Source organism: Homo sapiens, chromosome 18 (genome assembly GCF_000001405.40).
Source record: "Homo sapiens chromosome 18, GRCh38.p14 Primary Assembly".
NCBI classification, from domain to species: domain Eukaryota; kingdom Metazoa; phylum Chordata; class Mammalia; order Primates; family Hominidae; genus Homo; species Homo sapiens.
The window spans coordinates 64,978,846-64,995,346 of NC_000018.10; the positions used below are offsets into that span (position 1 = coordinate 64,978,846).

Genomic DNA, 16,501 nt, shown 5'->3' on the forward strand with positions numbered 1-16,501 from the left:
GTGTGTCATTTATAGTTCCCGGAAGTTCTTATGAGTTCTATAATCCTAATGTTTACACCTTGGCATGAGCTCACAAACACACATGTGCATGCACACACACACACACTCACACAATTCATTTAAAATGTGAATAATTCACTACCCATCAGACTTGAAGCTAGTCCTGAGTCCATACTTGACAAAATAAAAATATGTAAATTTAGACATTAGTTACATGGAAAACCTATTCATTGAAATAATACTGTAGCCCCAAAGGCCTAGATCCTATTCCAATTTTGCCATTTTGGGTAGACCATTTTATTTATTTGAGTTTTACTTTTCTTTTCAAGGTGACATGGAAAAAAAGTAATAACATTTTCTTTGGCAGGTTATTGTGAGGGTTATGTGAGACTATCTAAACAAATATTCTAAAAATTTTATACTTATTTTAGGCTTTCCTTATTATTAATATTGGCTTTCTTTATATTTTGCATTTCTCTAGTTACGTTTGAAGTAGCTTAGGAAAATATACTAATAAAACATAGAAATGTAAATGTTATTTACATTCTAAACAAAAAATAATAAAAGTCATATGGTTAAGGCCAAGATGGATGTATTACTACTATTAATATACCCATGAACAAAATAAATGGATATAATTTGAGTTTTTCAATTTATAAAGCATTTTATTTGCTTTACTTAACTACTGCTATATTTTATATATTCCTAGAACTGTGTAATAACCAGTCCTTCATGGATTATGTAGTAGCTTTATTTGTTTCAGTTTTTTTCCCTTTTGTTGGTGAAGGGCATTTACTTTGTAGGCTTTATTTTATTATTTTATTATTTTTAGTTGAGGATAAAATCAAAATCATTCTAATTTCTAATAATTAGGATTTAATGCCATAAAATAACACATCAAACTATAAACATTTCAACGGTTAAGCCACATACTATTTTATTAATATGTTGTGGCAATTGAGTTCCCATTTCCAGAAAAGTAAGAATTGCAAGGGATGTAAATGAGAATTAAAAAGAAACCAACCCATAACAGATGTTAGCAAGATTTTTCCCTCCTACTTAGAACGTAATAAACATGTGGAATAGCCTATCAGGCGCAATTGCTGAAGCAAAACACAAGGATCATTCAAGAAACAATTAGATTCTGTTCTAAAGAAATGGAATACTTAAAAAGGATGGGTCCTGATGGGCCTATAGTCCTGATGAGCAAATAGCTCCAGCTAAACCCTTTATGATCCTAACTTCATTTGAATGTAAATATCAACACAATGTACTCATATCAAGATTTGGGAACACTGTGAAGATTTTTCTCTCCTGCAAGAGAGGGAACTGTGTTGATAATATTCCATGTCTCTGTTGTAAAATGCCTACATGTGGTAACTTTGTTTCCATTTTCTTTAATATTAAGAAGAGTGAAGATTTCTCATTATCTTAATTTCTTTATTTTTTGGATGATGTTTAGTGGAGCAAAGAAAATTGTTCTTTTTGAGATCAAAATCAAATTTAGGAAAATTTCAAAGCACATAATATAAAATATGTTAGGAAATAAATTGGGAAAATTTATTTGAAAAGTAAATAAAAATTATGAACATATAAGCTAGGGTACAACATAACAGCATAAGAAAAAATCTAAAAACAGAAACCTTTAGAACTCAATGCCACCATTATGGTGGTTTGTCCTTCATCAGCTAACTGGTGTAGCGTAATTGAACATGACCTCAAGATAATTTTATTTTATTTTTTACTTTTACAGTGGTAGTCTATTTTTATATTACATACAATTTCTTTCTTTTTTACAAAGCACTATTTTTAGAAACATCTACTTTACCATCACACTAGAGTATAAAAGTTACTCGGTTTGTCTTCTCTATCTCTCTATCAGTCATGAATGCTTGCTTATGTAGTATATATAATAAAAATAAAGAGCTTCTAATTTCTGCAAATGAAAATAATATTTTGAGTGTATGTTTTAGACTACATATGCCACAACCATTGTAAGATCAGCTATGCCCTCCTTGAAATGTTAAGTATTTCTTCTCTTTCCTGTCCAGAATTAACTTAAAACTTTTAAATCAATATGTATCATTTATGCATTTTTGTAGACAACGATGACAGTGACGTTTTGAAAATAATATTTACAGGTAAAAGATATGCTGTTCAGTGAATAATGATAATCAAAGTTACAATTTTAATAAATATCATTTTACATATGATTCATATGCTAAGTAGTGAGCGTCAGCATAATATTACATTTTACATATTCTGAATTCTGCCTCAGTTTGCTAGTTAATGAAGTTGAACCTGGGACCAACATAAAGACATTGGAAAAGCCTGAATTGTATTTTCTTAGTAATCTTAAATTGACCTACTAGGTGCTTACATACCCTATTTTGGAATAAAGGGAAGAAAGTTTAGTTGCAGTGTATTCAATCAAAATTATTTATTTATGTGTGTATCTCTCTACTAGAAGTTAACCTTTTGAGGGAAGCAGCTATGACCTAATTAATTCTATATATCTCTGGCACATAGCAGGTTATCATGAAATGTTTGTGGACTAGAAATTAATTGTTAATGCAAATTTGTTTAACCTATTGATATATACTGCTGAAGCATGCACCATTATCTTATTAAGCTTCTACAAATTAGATGCTAACTCTAGAATGGCAAATTTTAACATTGTCCTTGAACATTTGCTTCTTACTTAAATCTAGTTTGAGGCTATGAAATATAACCTTTTAGGGCCTCCTTGTTTTCACCCATACAGACTCAGCAACTTGCCTTCAACTACTAACTGCAATTCATCAACCACATTTATCTGTATGAATTTTGGGCTCAAGGTCAACAATTAAAACTCTCTGTCTCTTTCTCTCTTTCTCTTTTACACACACACACACACACACACACACACACACACACACACAGAATAAATCGTGGAGTACTTTTTTCCAAGATTGTATCTTCAAAGTCTCCTAGAGGACATAGCCATACGATATTGTAGTGACATAATACACAATATCCTGTCTGACCTGAAACATTTCTATTTAATATATCAAAAATGGTTGGGCATGGTGGCTCATACTGGGTTTACCAGAACTTTGGGAGGCCAAGGCAGGAGGATATCTTAAGTTCAGGATTTCAATAACAGCTTGGGCAACATATTGAGAACCTATCTTATTTACAAAAAATAAAAGATTAGCCAGGGCGTGGTAGCATGTGCCTGTGTTCCTAGCTACTCAGAAGGCTGAAGTGGGAGGATTACTTAAGCCTGGGGTTGTTGAGACTGCAGTGAACTGTGATCACACCATCGCACATGTAACAGAGTGAGAACCTGTTCCAAAAGAAAAAGGATGCAAAATTTATGCAATGTGATTGCTTACTTAAGTATATTAAATAAATGCATATTGTGTACTTAGCAGGTACACAAATTTGGGGTCAACCATTAGTTTTAGACAATTAGGTAAAAAAGATTGTCTTTTAATAAATTTGGGTCTTTAACATTTTTCAAAAGTTACAATTTTTATCTTGAATTGTAAAATTAAGATTGGTTTCTATCATTAAAATTTTGTAACAGTAACAAATGTAATAAGTAGTTTTGACATTTTGTATTCACAGAGACAAAGGAAGGATTATTTATTAAAAGATAAAGCAGGACTTTTAAGTTCCAAACATGAGATATTGGCATGAAAACAAACCAGCACAATCAGCTACGTAGATCACTCTAGTGTATTACAGCATAAGGAAGAACTGGCCAATGTGTGTTGACACAGTTTCACTGAACAAGACAGCTTTCACTCAGGCCTCAGCTGGAATAAACTTCAGACAGGCTTCTTCCTGACTTCAGACCTTTCATCTCCCTTCTCTTAGAGCATTCACTGTAGAAAACTTACACATGTAAATTCTTTCTCTGTGTTTTTGAGATACAAATCTTGTCAAAGCTTCCCACAAGATTTACAACCCAGAAACATCATTCTCAAAAACCTGGAAGCAGTCCATTTAAAGTGTAACCATTATCCAGGAAGATAGGGCTCTATCTCCCAGAGTCGGCTCCCAGGCCAGCAGCCTAACTCCAGCAGGCACCTGGCTGTAAGCTGTAAAACTACTTCTTATTAGGAAAATGTGAGCAAGTTTGTTTCCTTTGGTTAAGGCCAATTGGCAAACATAGGTAGCCTAAGATTCCCCACCTCTTGGTCTTACAAGCTCCCCAGGCTTTGTTCCATTTAATTGAGCTCAGACTGAGTTCTGACCTCTCTGTTCTGTTGAGATAGCATTCAATAAAATCTTTCTTAGCTGTTTAACTTTATACAGGGATTTTTATTTTATTTATTTATATTTTTTGCTTTGACATGGAATATAAAAAGCAAACACACAATTTAGGAAAAGAATGTTTAGTGTTCTAACTTCACTCAAAGATGGTTATCCAGTAAAAGGTTTAAGGAAGATTTTGCTTTAAATAAAGTGAAGTTTAAAGTAAAATTCTAAATATGTTCATATATAAAACTATTATGAAGTTTCTGTGCTTATAGTGTATATGAAACTTTAAAATCCAAACAATATGTATATTAGATATAAGAAAAATAGAAATACAAATATAATCAAATTAAAGTTTGCAATATCAATGTGATGTTGATGGGAGCTGCTGCTCCAGAAGGATTGCTGCTGCCATCGAGCTGGATGCAGCAGAGAGGTGCAGCTGGGGCTGCACCCTCCATGAAGCTGGTGGGAGCCCTACCTCTTCCAAGTTGGGGTGGGAGCTCCCAAGGTGCCGCTGCAGCCGCCCAAACCTCGGCTGCAGACCCCAGATTCTGCTCCTGATCCACAGAGCAGGCAGGAGCCCCATTCAGGCAGCCACCCCAACTGCAGCTGTGGATCCAAGCCTCCCTGTGCTCTTAGGGGGCTGCCCTCCTGGGCGCAGCTGCAGCTGCCCAAACCGTGGCTGCAGACTCAGGCATCCCTGCTAGGGGAGAGCCCAGGAAGACCCCGTCCCCTTGCAGGCTCGTAAGTGCCTGCCCCACTGTCTGACTTCTCCCTGCTGTCAGCAGGGCCTCTGATCTGGGAGCAAGTCTGGTGATCTCAGGGACGATGTAGGGCTGCTGGAGGCAGACAGGCTCCTGGGCTAAGGAGATAGGTCCCGATAAGTCCCGACCTTCAGCTCAGGGAGGGCCTGAAGGCTCCGGGCCAGGCTGCCAGTCCCCTGGACCAGAGTGGGGACTTGTGGTGCCTTTTCTAGCCCACCCATGGCTGCCCATGGACCAGTCGCCAGACACTTCCTCCTCTCTGGGTCCATAAAATAGTCCTGGACTCATCTAGAACAGGAAAGCAGATGGACAGGTGATAGGACAACCAGCTGCAGAGAGGAGCTACCCACCCTGGTACATCTTCTCTGCTGAGCGTTTCAGATGTGGAAATGACCTGCCTGCAGGGAGGAGCTACCCACTCCATGGCCTCCTTGCTGCTAAGAGCTGAATATTCAATGGGACAGCCTGCTTACAGACAGAAGCTACCCACCGGGGGTCTTTTCTGAGCTGTTCTAACACTCAGTAAAGCCCCTCTGTGTCTTGCTCACCCTTCACTTGTCTGCATACCTCATTCTTCCTGGACACAGGACAAGAACTCGGGCAAAGGTGCCACCAGCCACAGAGGTTTCCCGGCCAGAAAAACCAACACTCCAAACATCCTTTAAAAATCTGACAGATTTTTTTTAACACTGCAATCCAACTGTCATTTACAATATGATTCTAGGAGTGAAGAGCATGGCAAGACAATAATTTTTCTAAATCTGGCTGCCTATGCTAACTATGCCTATGCTAAGGGTATACCACCCTTCTACCACTGCCTTTCTTTTTTGGTGCCTCTACATAATATGCTGTGAGATCATTTGATCTTAATTTGACCCAAAGGCATGACATTACCAAATTTGCTTCTGTTCTTTTCCCATAAGTACTAGAGAATCTGTATGATAACAAGCACAGTTTTACTGATATGATATTAAACCCAATATAAAACTCTATTGCTGAAATCCTATCATGGTTCTCAGAAAAAGAAGAGCCAGCCTGCCTAACAGTGACAGTTTCATTGATGCAGTGGGAGGACCCCCACTCTTTCTATTGTGAACCCTTCATGTCTGACCTTACTGTTAAACTATATCACTGTCATCTATTTTGGGAGAAGCCCTAGCTATTTATTGGTTTGTCCATTTGTTTATTTATCTATTTATTTATTTACATTAATTATTGAGAGAATTGTGTCTCTTTGGGTCCTAGCATAATCTCAATTATGAATTCATGTTTGGGGTACCAATAACCTGAAAAACTGCACTTATTCCCCAACCCCACACACAGACACACAGATTCTGGGTGAATAAACACCCAGAAATGGGAAAAGAAAGACATTCATCTCTTAGAAGACAAAACTGGTGGCCAGGTGCAGTGGCTCATGCCTGTAATCCCACCATTTTGGGAGGCGAAGAGGGGCAGATCACGAGGTCAGGAGATCGAGACCATCCTGGCTAACATGGTAAAACCCTGTCTCTACTAAAAATACAAAAAATAAAATAAAATAAAATAAAATAAAAAATTAGCCGGGTGTGGTGGTGGGCACCTGCAGTCCCAGCTACTCGGGAGGCTGAGGCAGGAGAATGGCATGAACCTGGGAGGCAGAGCTTGCAGTGAGCTGAGATCGCGCCACTGCACTCCAGCCTGGGTGACAGAGTGAGACTTTGTCTCAAAAAAAAAAAAAAAAAAAAGACAAAATGGTTAATCTCTCAAATACGGTATGAAATCTTACCAGCAAATATCTCTGTGTACTTTTGTTCAAGAAGAAAATATTCAATATTTAAGAATTCTGAAGTTACTTGCATTGATGTGTTTTTAAGTATCTAATCTACCTAAAGGATATGTGTCTTCCCAAGACTTTTTGTTGTTATTGAATTCTAACATTTTCTTTAAGTTTAGCATGCATACAGAAACATACACAAATCACAAATATGCATATCAAATAATTTTTACATCCTGAGCACATTCATGCAACAAGTACCCAGATCAAAGCATACAACATACCAGTCCCCACGGAAACTCTTTCTTCCTTCCAACTAAAGCTGCCGCCTATTAACTAACTCAGGAAAATCAAAGGCTATCTGCTTCTAATAACATTAATACATTTTACTGTTTTTATACTTGATATAAATGAATCATACAGTATGTGTTTGTGTCTGTTTTCATTAATTGCACATTTATTTCTGTGAAATTCATTTTTTTCCTTGTTGAAGTTGCAGTTAGTTTACTTGCATTTCTGTCTGCTGTTTGCTTATTTATCTATTTTGTTTATTTGTTAGCTTATTGCCTTATTCCACTGGGACATCCACTATAGGAATCAAGTTATTCTAGTTATTGATCTTTATGTTTTCTTCCTTCTATCAGTGATTAGTCTTGCTAGAAGCTTATCAATTTTATTAATTCTTTTGAACAATCTATTTTTGTCTACAACAATGCTCTCTACTGTATGCATGTTTTCTATTTTACCTGCATCTGCTCTTATTTTTATTTATTAATCCCTTCTAGTTTCTGTGAATTTCATATGCTTAAAAACTCCAGCTTTAAGATAAAAGCCTTAATCATAAATGATGATACAAGCCTCAAAAATAGTCTGGCATTTTCAGTCTTTCATACATTTGTGTGTCTGTGTGTTATATGTTTTTAATTTTTTTCTAAACACCAATTTTGAATTTCAAAAACTTTTATATGTCACAGTCACATACTTGTTCACAATTCTAATTTCTGTGATGATTTCTTCTTTTATGCAATAGTATTTGATGTGCTTTCTGAACAACTGGGGATTTCTTTCTTATGTTTTTAAATTGATACACAAAAAAATACCCTGAACTATATCAATGTTTCAAGATTTGTTGACTGTTGCTCCATTGGCTTAGCAAGAGGTCACTTTTTAAAAAATGTTACAAGTACACTTAAAAATAAACTATATGCTGTCTTTGTTTGGTGCAATCTCCTACCCATGCCATAGTGCATATGTGCTGATGGTGTTGTTTTCAGCTTCTGTGCCCTTATTCTCTGCATGTACCTGCTATTTCTCTCAGTTCTTTTGAGCTAAGTTGGCTGATTCTAATACTAATAATATAGCTATAACAGAGTCTGCTCATAATAGAACTTCTTTCATGCTTTTTGTTTGTTAAAGGTTTTTGTTTTGTTTTGTTTCTCGGTCACCCAAGCTGAAATGCAATGACTTCATCATGGCTCACTGCAGCCTTGAACACGTGGGATCAGGTGATCCTCCAGCAGCAGCCTTCCCAGTACCTGGAATTACAGATGTGTGCCACTATGCCCAGCTAATTTTTTACATTTTGTGGAGACAAGGTCTTGCCATATTGCTCAGGCCAGTCGTGAACTCCTGGGTTAAAGTGATCTTCCAGCCTTGGCCTCCCAAAGCACTGGGATTACAGGCCTGACCATGCCCAGCCCATCATGCTGTTTATTTTTAACTTTCCTGTGTTGTTTATTTTTAACTTTCCTGTTCTGTTTATTTTTAACTTTCCTGTGCTTCTTCTAAGCATTATATGGATTTTGTTTTTGCTGCTATTTAAATTAATTTGACAATTTTAGTCTTAAAAGAAGTGTTTTTAGCCTATTAATATGAAATACCGTATTAATTTTTTAATATAATTATTGATGTATTCAGATATATGTTATTCATCTTCTCATTCTTATTCATCTTCTCTTTGACCACCTATGTTATTTTACTTCTTCTGTTTTTTCTTGTTTCTTCTGTATTAGTTATTTATATTCTATATTTTCTCTATTACTAATTACATATTATTTCACTAATTTTTAAGTGGCGGATTAAAAGCTTCTTTATCAATACTTGCTTTGTTACCTTTGAACAATGTTACTTTTATCATTTCCTTAATAAAAAAAACATAGAACATTTGAAATACATTTACTTTATTCTTTCCATTTGTGCTGTTTTAGGCATTTTTTATCTACATGTATTTTAGTTGCCATTAGGTAGCATTATCATTGCTTTATACAAACAATATTATTTCTATTGTAATGTAGGTCTGCTGGCAACAAATTCTCTTTGAATTTGTCTAAAATCTGTTTTTTTATCTTTATTTTTGAAGGATATATTTACTGAGTATATAATTTTTGTTTGGGAATGACTTTCTTCAGCTCCTTAAAAATGCCATTCCATTATCTTCTGACATTCATTCAGGTTTTGTTTTGTTATTTGTTTTGACAAATACTATTGTTGCAACTTTGAACATAATTTGTACTTCCACTGCCCGCCCCCCGCCCCCTGCCCCCTATTACTACAACCCAGGATGATTCAAATTCTTTTTCTCTGTTTCTAAGCATTTCATTGAGACGTCCCTAAGTGTGGATTTCTCTTACTGAAACTGCTTTGGGTTCAATGAGTTTTTTGATCAATAGGTTGATACTTGTTCTGTCTGTTCCTGCATTATAAGCACTTTAACATTCATTGGCTTAAAATAACCATTTTATGAGCTCATGTTTCAATGGGTTGACTGAGTGTGGCTCAAGATTTATTTAGCCAGCCTCACCTGGGGTTCTCCATTTATTTCATGGTTGGATATGCAGTCATTTGGATGCTAGAATATTTTATTCCAGATGGAAACTTTGATAGCTCATCCACTCATGTACAAGATGCTTATTTCTTCCTCCTCTTCTTCTTCCTTTTTTTTTTTTTTTTTTTGCCAGAGTCTCTTTCTGTCACCTTGGCTGAAGTTCAGTGGGGCCATCTAGTCTCACTGCAACCTCCGCCTCCAGGACTCAAGCGATTCTTCCACTTCTGACACCCAAGTAGCTGGGATTACAGGTGCGCTCCACCATGCTCAGCTAATTTTTGTAGAGCTGGGGTTTCACCAAGTTGGCCAGGCTGGTTGCAAACTTCTGATCTCAGGAGATCTGCCTGCATCAGCCTCCCAAAGTGCTGGGAGTACAGGCGTAAGCCACTGTGCCTGGCTGCTTGTTGTTTCTTCTTTATGATATAATTCTTTGCCTATTGTATCTTGTCTTCCAGGGCCTCTCTCCAGAAGGGCAGCTGGAATTTTACATGGTGACTCCAGGCTCCAGAAGACTCAGAAGAAGATGTCAGTCAATTTTAAGGCTTGGGCCTAATATGGTACAGTGTCCCCTGTCACAGCCTTTTGCATAAAGCAAGGCACAGTGCTGGCCCACATTCAATAACAGAGGACATTACATCATGGCAGGAATATTAACCCATAGTTTTCTGGGGGGGAGATTTGCAACCAGCTGCCATAAATCCTTTCTTTGGTTTTAATACTTTTTCTGACATTATGTACTAAAATTCAATGTCTTCCCTTTTCTCTTGTTAATTTCCTCTGGAACAGAAATTACAGGTAGGCTACACAAATTTTTCTGTGTTCAATTTCTCTGAAACTCTTTTCTGTGTTTTCTTTTTCTCTCTCTCTCTCTTTTTTGGTTTATATTTATTGGCATGTATTTCAGACAAATAATCCTGTGTTTTTCTGTTTCTAATCCATCATTAAATTCAGTGATTAAGCTCTTAATTTCAAAAGTCACATTTCTTCAATTCTAGGTGTTCATTATATTATTTTAAGTCTTTCAATTTTTTGGTATAATCACTATTGCTTTACCTTTTTAAATATTTTCCTTTATGTTCTTTTACAGTTGAATAATCATAGTTATCTTAACGTCCTGATCTGCTAATTTAATATCTGCACTCTCTGAGAGCTTGGTGTGTTTTTCATGACTCTGACCATGGACAGTTGAGCGAATGTTAGCCGTTGTCTCCTCAGGAAGGCTACACTTTCTCTGTTTTCCTTCTTAGAGGCTTCCTGTTTAGTCTTTTTTTTTATCTCCTCATCCTTTATGTAACCATAGAGGGGAAAACAGTCATGTATTGAGAGGCCATCACATCTCTGTTTTCTATTTCTAGCCCCAGGAGACCAACAAAATGTCTGCTAATTTTTCTCTACCTAACAGCAGTCTTCTTCTGGGCCATCACCTACCTTCTCAGCCTCCTCCACAAAGGCAGAGACAGCAGATTTCCTCAGGTAAAAAGCCTCTACAAATGTCAGAGGTTCTCCTCTCTCTGGAATCTTGCTGTCTTTAATTATCCTGGTTTCAGTACTTCTTTGACATCTTGGACATGACTTCTATTTTTGTTCAAATTTTCTAGTTGTTTTTTATGAAAGTATTGGTATCCCCTCATTAACTGTTTTTTTATTTTTTAACCACAGCATTTGGTGTCACCTACTCTTGACTGCCTGCCTGCTTGTTTCCTCAAGGAGTCCTATAGTTTCCTCTACACTTTGACATGCACTCTTACAGAATAAGAGTGTTTAAAAGCCTGAGCCTCCCTTTAGAATATTTTTTAAATTTATTTAATTTTTGTATTTTTAAATTAAGACAATTATTATACATATTTGTGGAGTATGGAGTGATGCTTTGATACATGTACATACTCTGTGAAAATTAAATCGGGATTCAGTCATGCATCAAATAATAACATTTTAGTCAATGTTGGACCACATATATGACGATGGTCCCATAAGATTCTAATGGGGCTGAAAAATTGCTGTAGCCTAATGATGTCATAGCTGTCCTAATGTCATAGTGCAATGCATTACTCACATGTTTGTGGTGATACTGGTGTAAACAAACCCACTGTGTTGCCAATCACATACAAATATAGCACGTACAATTATGTACAGTACATACTACTTTAAAATGATAATGGAATGACTATGCTACTGGTTAATGTATTTACTATACTAAACATTTAATCATTATTTTGCAGTGAACTTCTTCTACTTATTAAAAAAAAGTAACTGTAAAGCAGCCTCAAGGAGGTCCTTCAGGAGGCATTCTGGAAGAAAGCATTATTGTCATAGGTGATGACAGCTCCATGCATGTGATTTCCCCCAAAGACCTTCCAGTGGGACAAGACACAGTGGCAGAAGACAGCAATTTTAATGAAGCTAATCTTGTGAAGGCCTAGGATAATGGGTGTGTTTGTGTCTTAGTTTTAAATGAAAAGTTTAAAAGTTAAAAAAAGCTAATATCCAATGTTTAAAAATATGAAATGAGCTTATAAAATAAGGTTATAAAGAAAAATAATACTTTTGTATGGCTGTACAATGTGTTTTTAAAAGTTTTTTACAGACAGTGTCTCTGTCACCCAAGCTGGAGTACAGATGAGTGATCGCAGCTCACTGACCTCTACAATGTGTTTTTATTTTCAGTTAAATGTTATTACAAAAGAGTCAAAAGATTAAAAACTTAAATGTTTGTAAAGTAAAAATGTTATAGTAAGATTAGTTTAACTTATTATTGAAGACAGAAAAAATATTTTATAATTTTAATGTAACCTAGTGCACTGTTATAAAGTCTATTAGTGCACAGCAATACCCTAGGCTTCACATTCATGCACCACTCACTCAGTGACTCACCCAAAGTAACAGTCCTGCAAGCTCCGCTCATTGTAAGTTCCCTATACCGGTGCACCATTATTTTTTTGTTTATGCCATATTTTTACTGTACTTTTGTATTAGCGTGTTCTCATACTACTGTGAAGAAATAACCGAGACTGGGTAACTTATTAAAGAAAGAGGTTGAATTGACTCACGGTTCCTCATTGCTGGGGAGGCCTCAGGAAACTTAGAATCACGGTGGGAGGCAAAGGAGAAGCAGACACCTTCTTCACAGGGTGGCAGGAGGGAGTGAGTGCAAGCAGGGGAAATGCATAACCCTTATAAAACCATCAGATCTCATGAGAATTCACTCACTATCAGGAGAACAGCATGGGGGAAACTGCCCCCATGATTCAATTATCTCCACCTGGTCTCTCCATTGACACATGAGGATTATGGGAATTACAATTCAAGATGAGATTTTGATTGGGGACACAGCCAAACCGTATGAACCTTTTTATGCTTAGATATGTTTAAACAAATACCATTATGTTGTAATTGCCTACAGTATTAAGTACAGTAACATGCTGTATGGGTTTGCAGCCTGAGAGCAATAGCTTAACCATATAGCCTAAATATGAGGCTGGCTATGCCACATAGGTTTGTATAAATTGTGTATATTGTTCACATAACTGAAATTGCTTAACCACACATTTCTCAGAACTTATCCTTGTTGTTAAGAGATGCATGACTCGATAGTCACTTTGGTTTGAGTTGACAGGTAATTGGGGTTATAAAAGCATAAAGGAGACACTGGAGCAATATCCATTGACATAAAAAGAACAAAAATATAGCAAAATAATTCAGAATCTCTCTTCCTCCAAGGTTCTGCTCAATGTTATAGTTTTCCATTTTGAGGCTGATACAATAAATGTTGATATCACACTTGCGCGGAGAGGACATTGGACTGAAAGCACCTTACTCTGCATTAGATGTTTACAAAGGGATTTCTATAGGGAACTAATATAGTATAGGTATAACAAAGAATGCCAAAAGAAGGTTTATTCAGTTTGAATATCTAGTTTCATTGATAATTAATTTTAATTAAGTTGATTTTGTATGTGGTTATGTTTTATGGTGAAAACAATCATCAATTTTGGTAGATACTATGAGTCTGCTCATAATTTTGGTGTACTTTTTATGTTCCAACATGTATAAAGTTGTATAAATTATACAACTTGTATAACAACTTGTATAAGTAAACGTATCTATAAGTTATACAACTTTAGTTTAGTTATCTATAAGTTTACTTATACACTTATAATAGGTATGTGATATAATTATAAACAAAATTCTCTTACCTTTAACTTCAGATGTCTGCTTAAAATCTATCTTATCTCTCCTCAGTCAAAAGAAGACCATTTTATCTCTTGGCCTAAATTCTTCTAAACAAATTTTTATTTCCCACAAATGTCTACTGAAAAAAAGATTCTTCTCTTCAGTGCTTCCTGCCTAAGTAAAATGTTCCACTCCCTTTTCTAGCCCTGCCTGTGGATAGTCACCAGTCAACATTGGCATCTCAAGGACAAGTTTGCCAAGATTAGAAGTGCTTATATTTTGGGAACACGCTGGCCACTTGCACATCAGAGATCTCTGCTATTAGAGAAATTATTTGGGAATCCCTAGAATGTTTGTATGCTAGGCTATTTCTTTTTGTGTTTAAAATATATGGAACTTTCAATGGAAGACTTTAAAAATTACTCTTGTTTTGCCTATGGCATAATACACAGATATAGTAATTTTTAAAACCTTTGGTAAATAAAGTAAAAATTATAAGGAAAACTTGCTTGTCACCTTAATTATTGTTTGGTGATGTTCTCTTATGTTAAATACTTCTCTATTATACCTCTTTACTACAGATACAGGGTCCTTATCACCTTTGTGTACCACGTGCCTACATCAATACCTGACATATCATGGGCATTTAATAGGTGTGTTAATGAATTAATATATAAACTGAAGAAGTATTGAAGACAGTTTTTGAACCAAAAATATGTTCAAAAGGCCTGAAAACGAGAGGATCGCCCGAGCCCAGGAGTTCAAGGCTTCAGTGAGCTACAATCACACCGCTTCACTCCAATCTGGGCCACTAATTTGCTTTAATTCTGATTCAAGACATTCATTTTTGAAATATGTGAAACCTTCAACCTTACTATTTTATTTCAGTGATACGACTGTTGAGCATTGAAGGTCAAATTCTTAATCATTTCCGAACAGAGTGAGCACAATGGTTTGCAAAGGGTTGATTTTCATTTTCAGTTTGGTCTGCATATTTTCTTGTCTCAGTACAAAAAGTTTCTCTTATACACAAACTCCAATTGAAATTATATAACCTGTTAATGCTTCATTTAGTTCATGAGTTCAGTGTCTGTGCAGTTGCTTGAATGTCGGCTTGCCCTTAGATTTTGTTGTTGTTGTTGTTCCCTGGCATCGGTGTTGTCTCTCTTGCTTGTCACTGAGGATTGCATCTGTTTAACTTTCTTTCTGTTCAGCAAAGATCCCTTCTGTTCTGAGCTGTAGCCTGAAGTCAGAGTCTAACTCTTGGAGCAAGTACTTAGTTTTGTTATGTTTCAATCAGCTCAAAGGTGTGTGGCCTTGTGCTTGCCAATGAGGGTGTAGAGTGGAAAGAAAAAGCACTTGCCCTTGTGAGGGCTCTCTGGCGTTTTGACAAACAGGACAAAGCTTCCATTTCTTTGAAATCAGATAGCTCCTTTTGAGTGCCCAAGTTGTTAGGGTAAAATATCATTCAGGTGACAGCAAAGGAAGGACATTTTGCAAATTTTCATGGTTTTGAAAGTTATGTTAACATTCTCAAAACTGGGATGAATTTCCATTTTCATTCTTACTGATCAATTATTGTTATTTTCATAAAACCCCCATCCCTGCCTGTGATTAGACGGAAGCCAAAGCATTCTAGAGAAACCCGTGTTTTCTTAAGGATTAAAAGGTGAAATGAAACTGAAACAAAACCAACACATACATCGCATTCAGATTTTAAGCCTTCTAGTCTATTTTTCAGAATAAAAATACCCCAAAACACAAAAAAGACCAAAAACACAATGCAAATATACTTCTAATATTTTCTATGCTGATGCACAAAATATTGAAGAAAGATCTAGTTTTGATGTAACATCATATTTGACAATATGCCTGGATAAATTTTATGCCATGGAGTAGCACATTTGAGATACTGGGTGTGCTTGCACTTCTCCCACGAGACTTGAATGATTCTACAGAGAGGCTGTACAGCCACACATTAGGCTGTAATCTACATGTGCATCACATTATGTCTTTCATCTTGACATCCTCTGAATGTTCAGATTTTTACATTATTCACCTTGTCTGTTTCACCAAATGCCTTCATGTACATACAGGTGCTTAATCAATGCTTCAGTATGAGAATGATTTATGGTGTTGTGGTCATTTTTTTCAGGCCTTAATGACTACTAGCAGGTAAAGCTAAATCAATAAGTACTTAGCATCTGTGGAAACAGAAGGTATTTATCTGCTAATCAGTGTGGTATTGAGGTGTTTCATATTTTAGTAAACTGTGTGATAACAAAGGTTACTGTTACTTTGGGTTGATTTATGTTATGTCAAAGAAATGCTAATCCTAGAATGTTTCTCTGATGTCCTGAAGGCCATTGCCTATAAAGTATAAAAAGTTTAAATAACATTCTGTATTTCCCTTTTCCTTTGTCGGTTAGAGTTCATTTTAGGTTTGCTCTGTGATAGCTCTAGGTCACGTACTGACCAGTACTGGTGGTAGCTCTTCTCACTGTGTCGGTGTTTTCTGTTAACATCCCATGATAGCAAAACGGTCAAGAGTTCAACTAGGTAGAACATCAATCAAACAAGAAACTGACATGATGTCAAAGGTAACAGCCACTTTTCAGTTACATTGGTTTTCATATGACAAGATATTTAGAAACATAAATTTTTTTATTGCAATCGCTTCTTATTCTTTCCATGGTGTGATATAGAAAGCATTTTCTCAGGTGATTAAATTTCTTC

General features: G+C 36.1%; 1 long non-coding RNA gene across 6 annotated transcripts in view; it reads right to left on the reverse strand.

Moving 5' to 3' along the window:
* Positions 1 to 14,192, reverse strand: part of LOC101927404 (uncharacterized) — a 121,424-nt gene extending 107,232 nt beyond the window's left edge. For all 6 annotated transcript variants that reach the window (XR_935579.3, XR_001753478.1, XR_935580.2 and 3 more), the window contains exon 1: positions 13,789 to 14,192. This is a non-coding gene — a long non-coding RNA (uncharacterized LOC101927404). The remainder of the gene's footprint in view (positions 1 to 13,788) is intronic.
* Between the last annotated feature and the right edge of the window lie 2,309 nt (positions 14,193 to 16,501).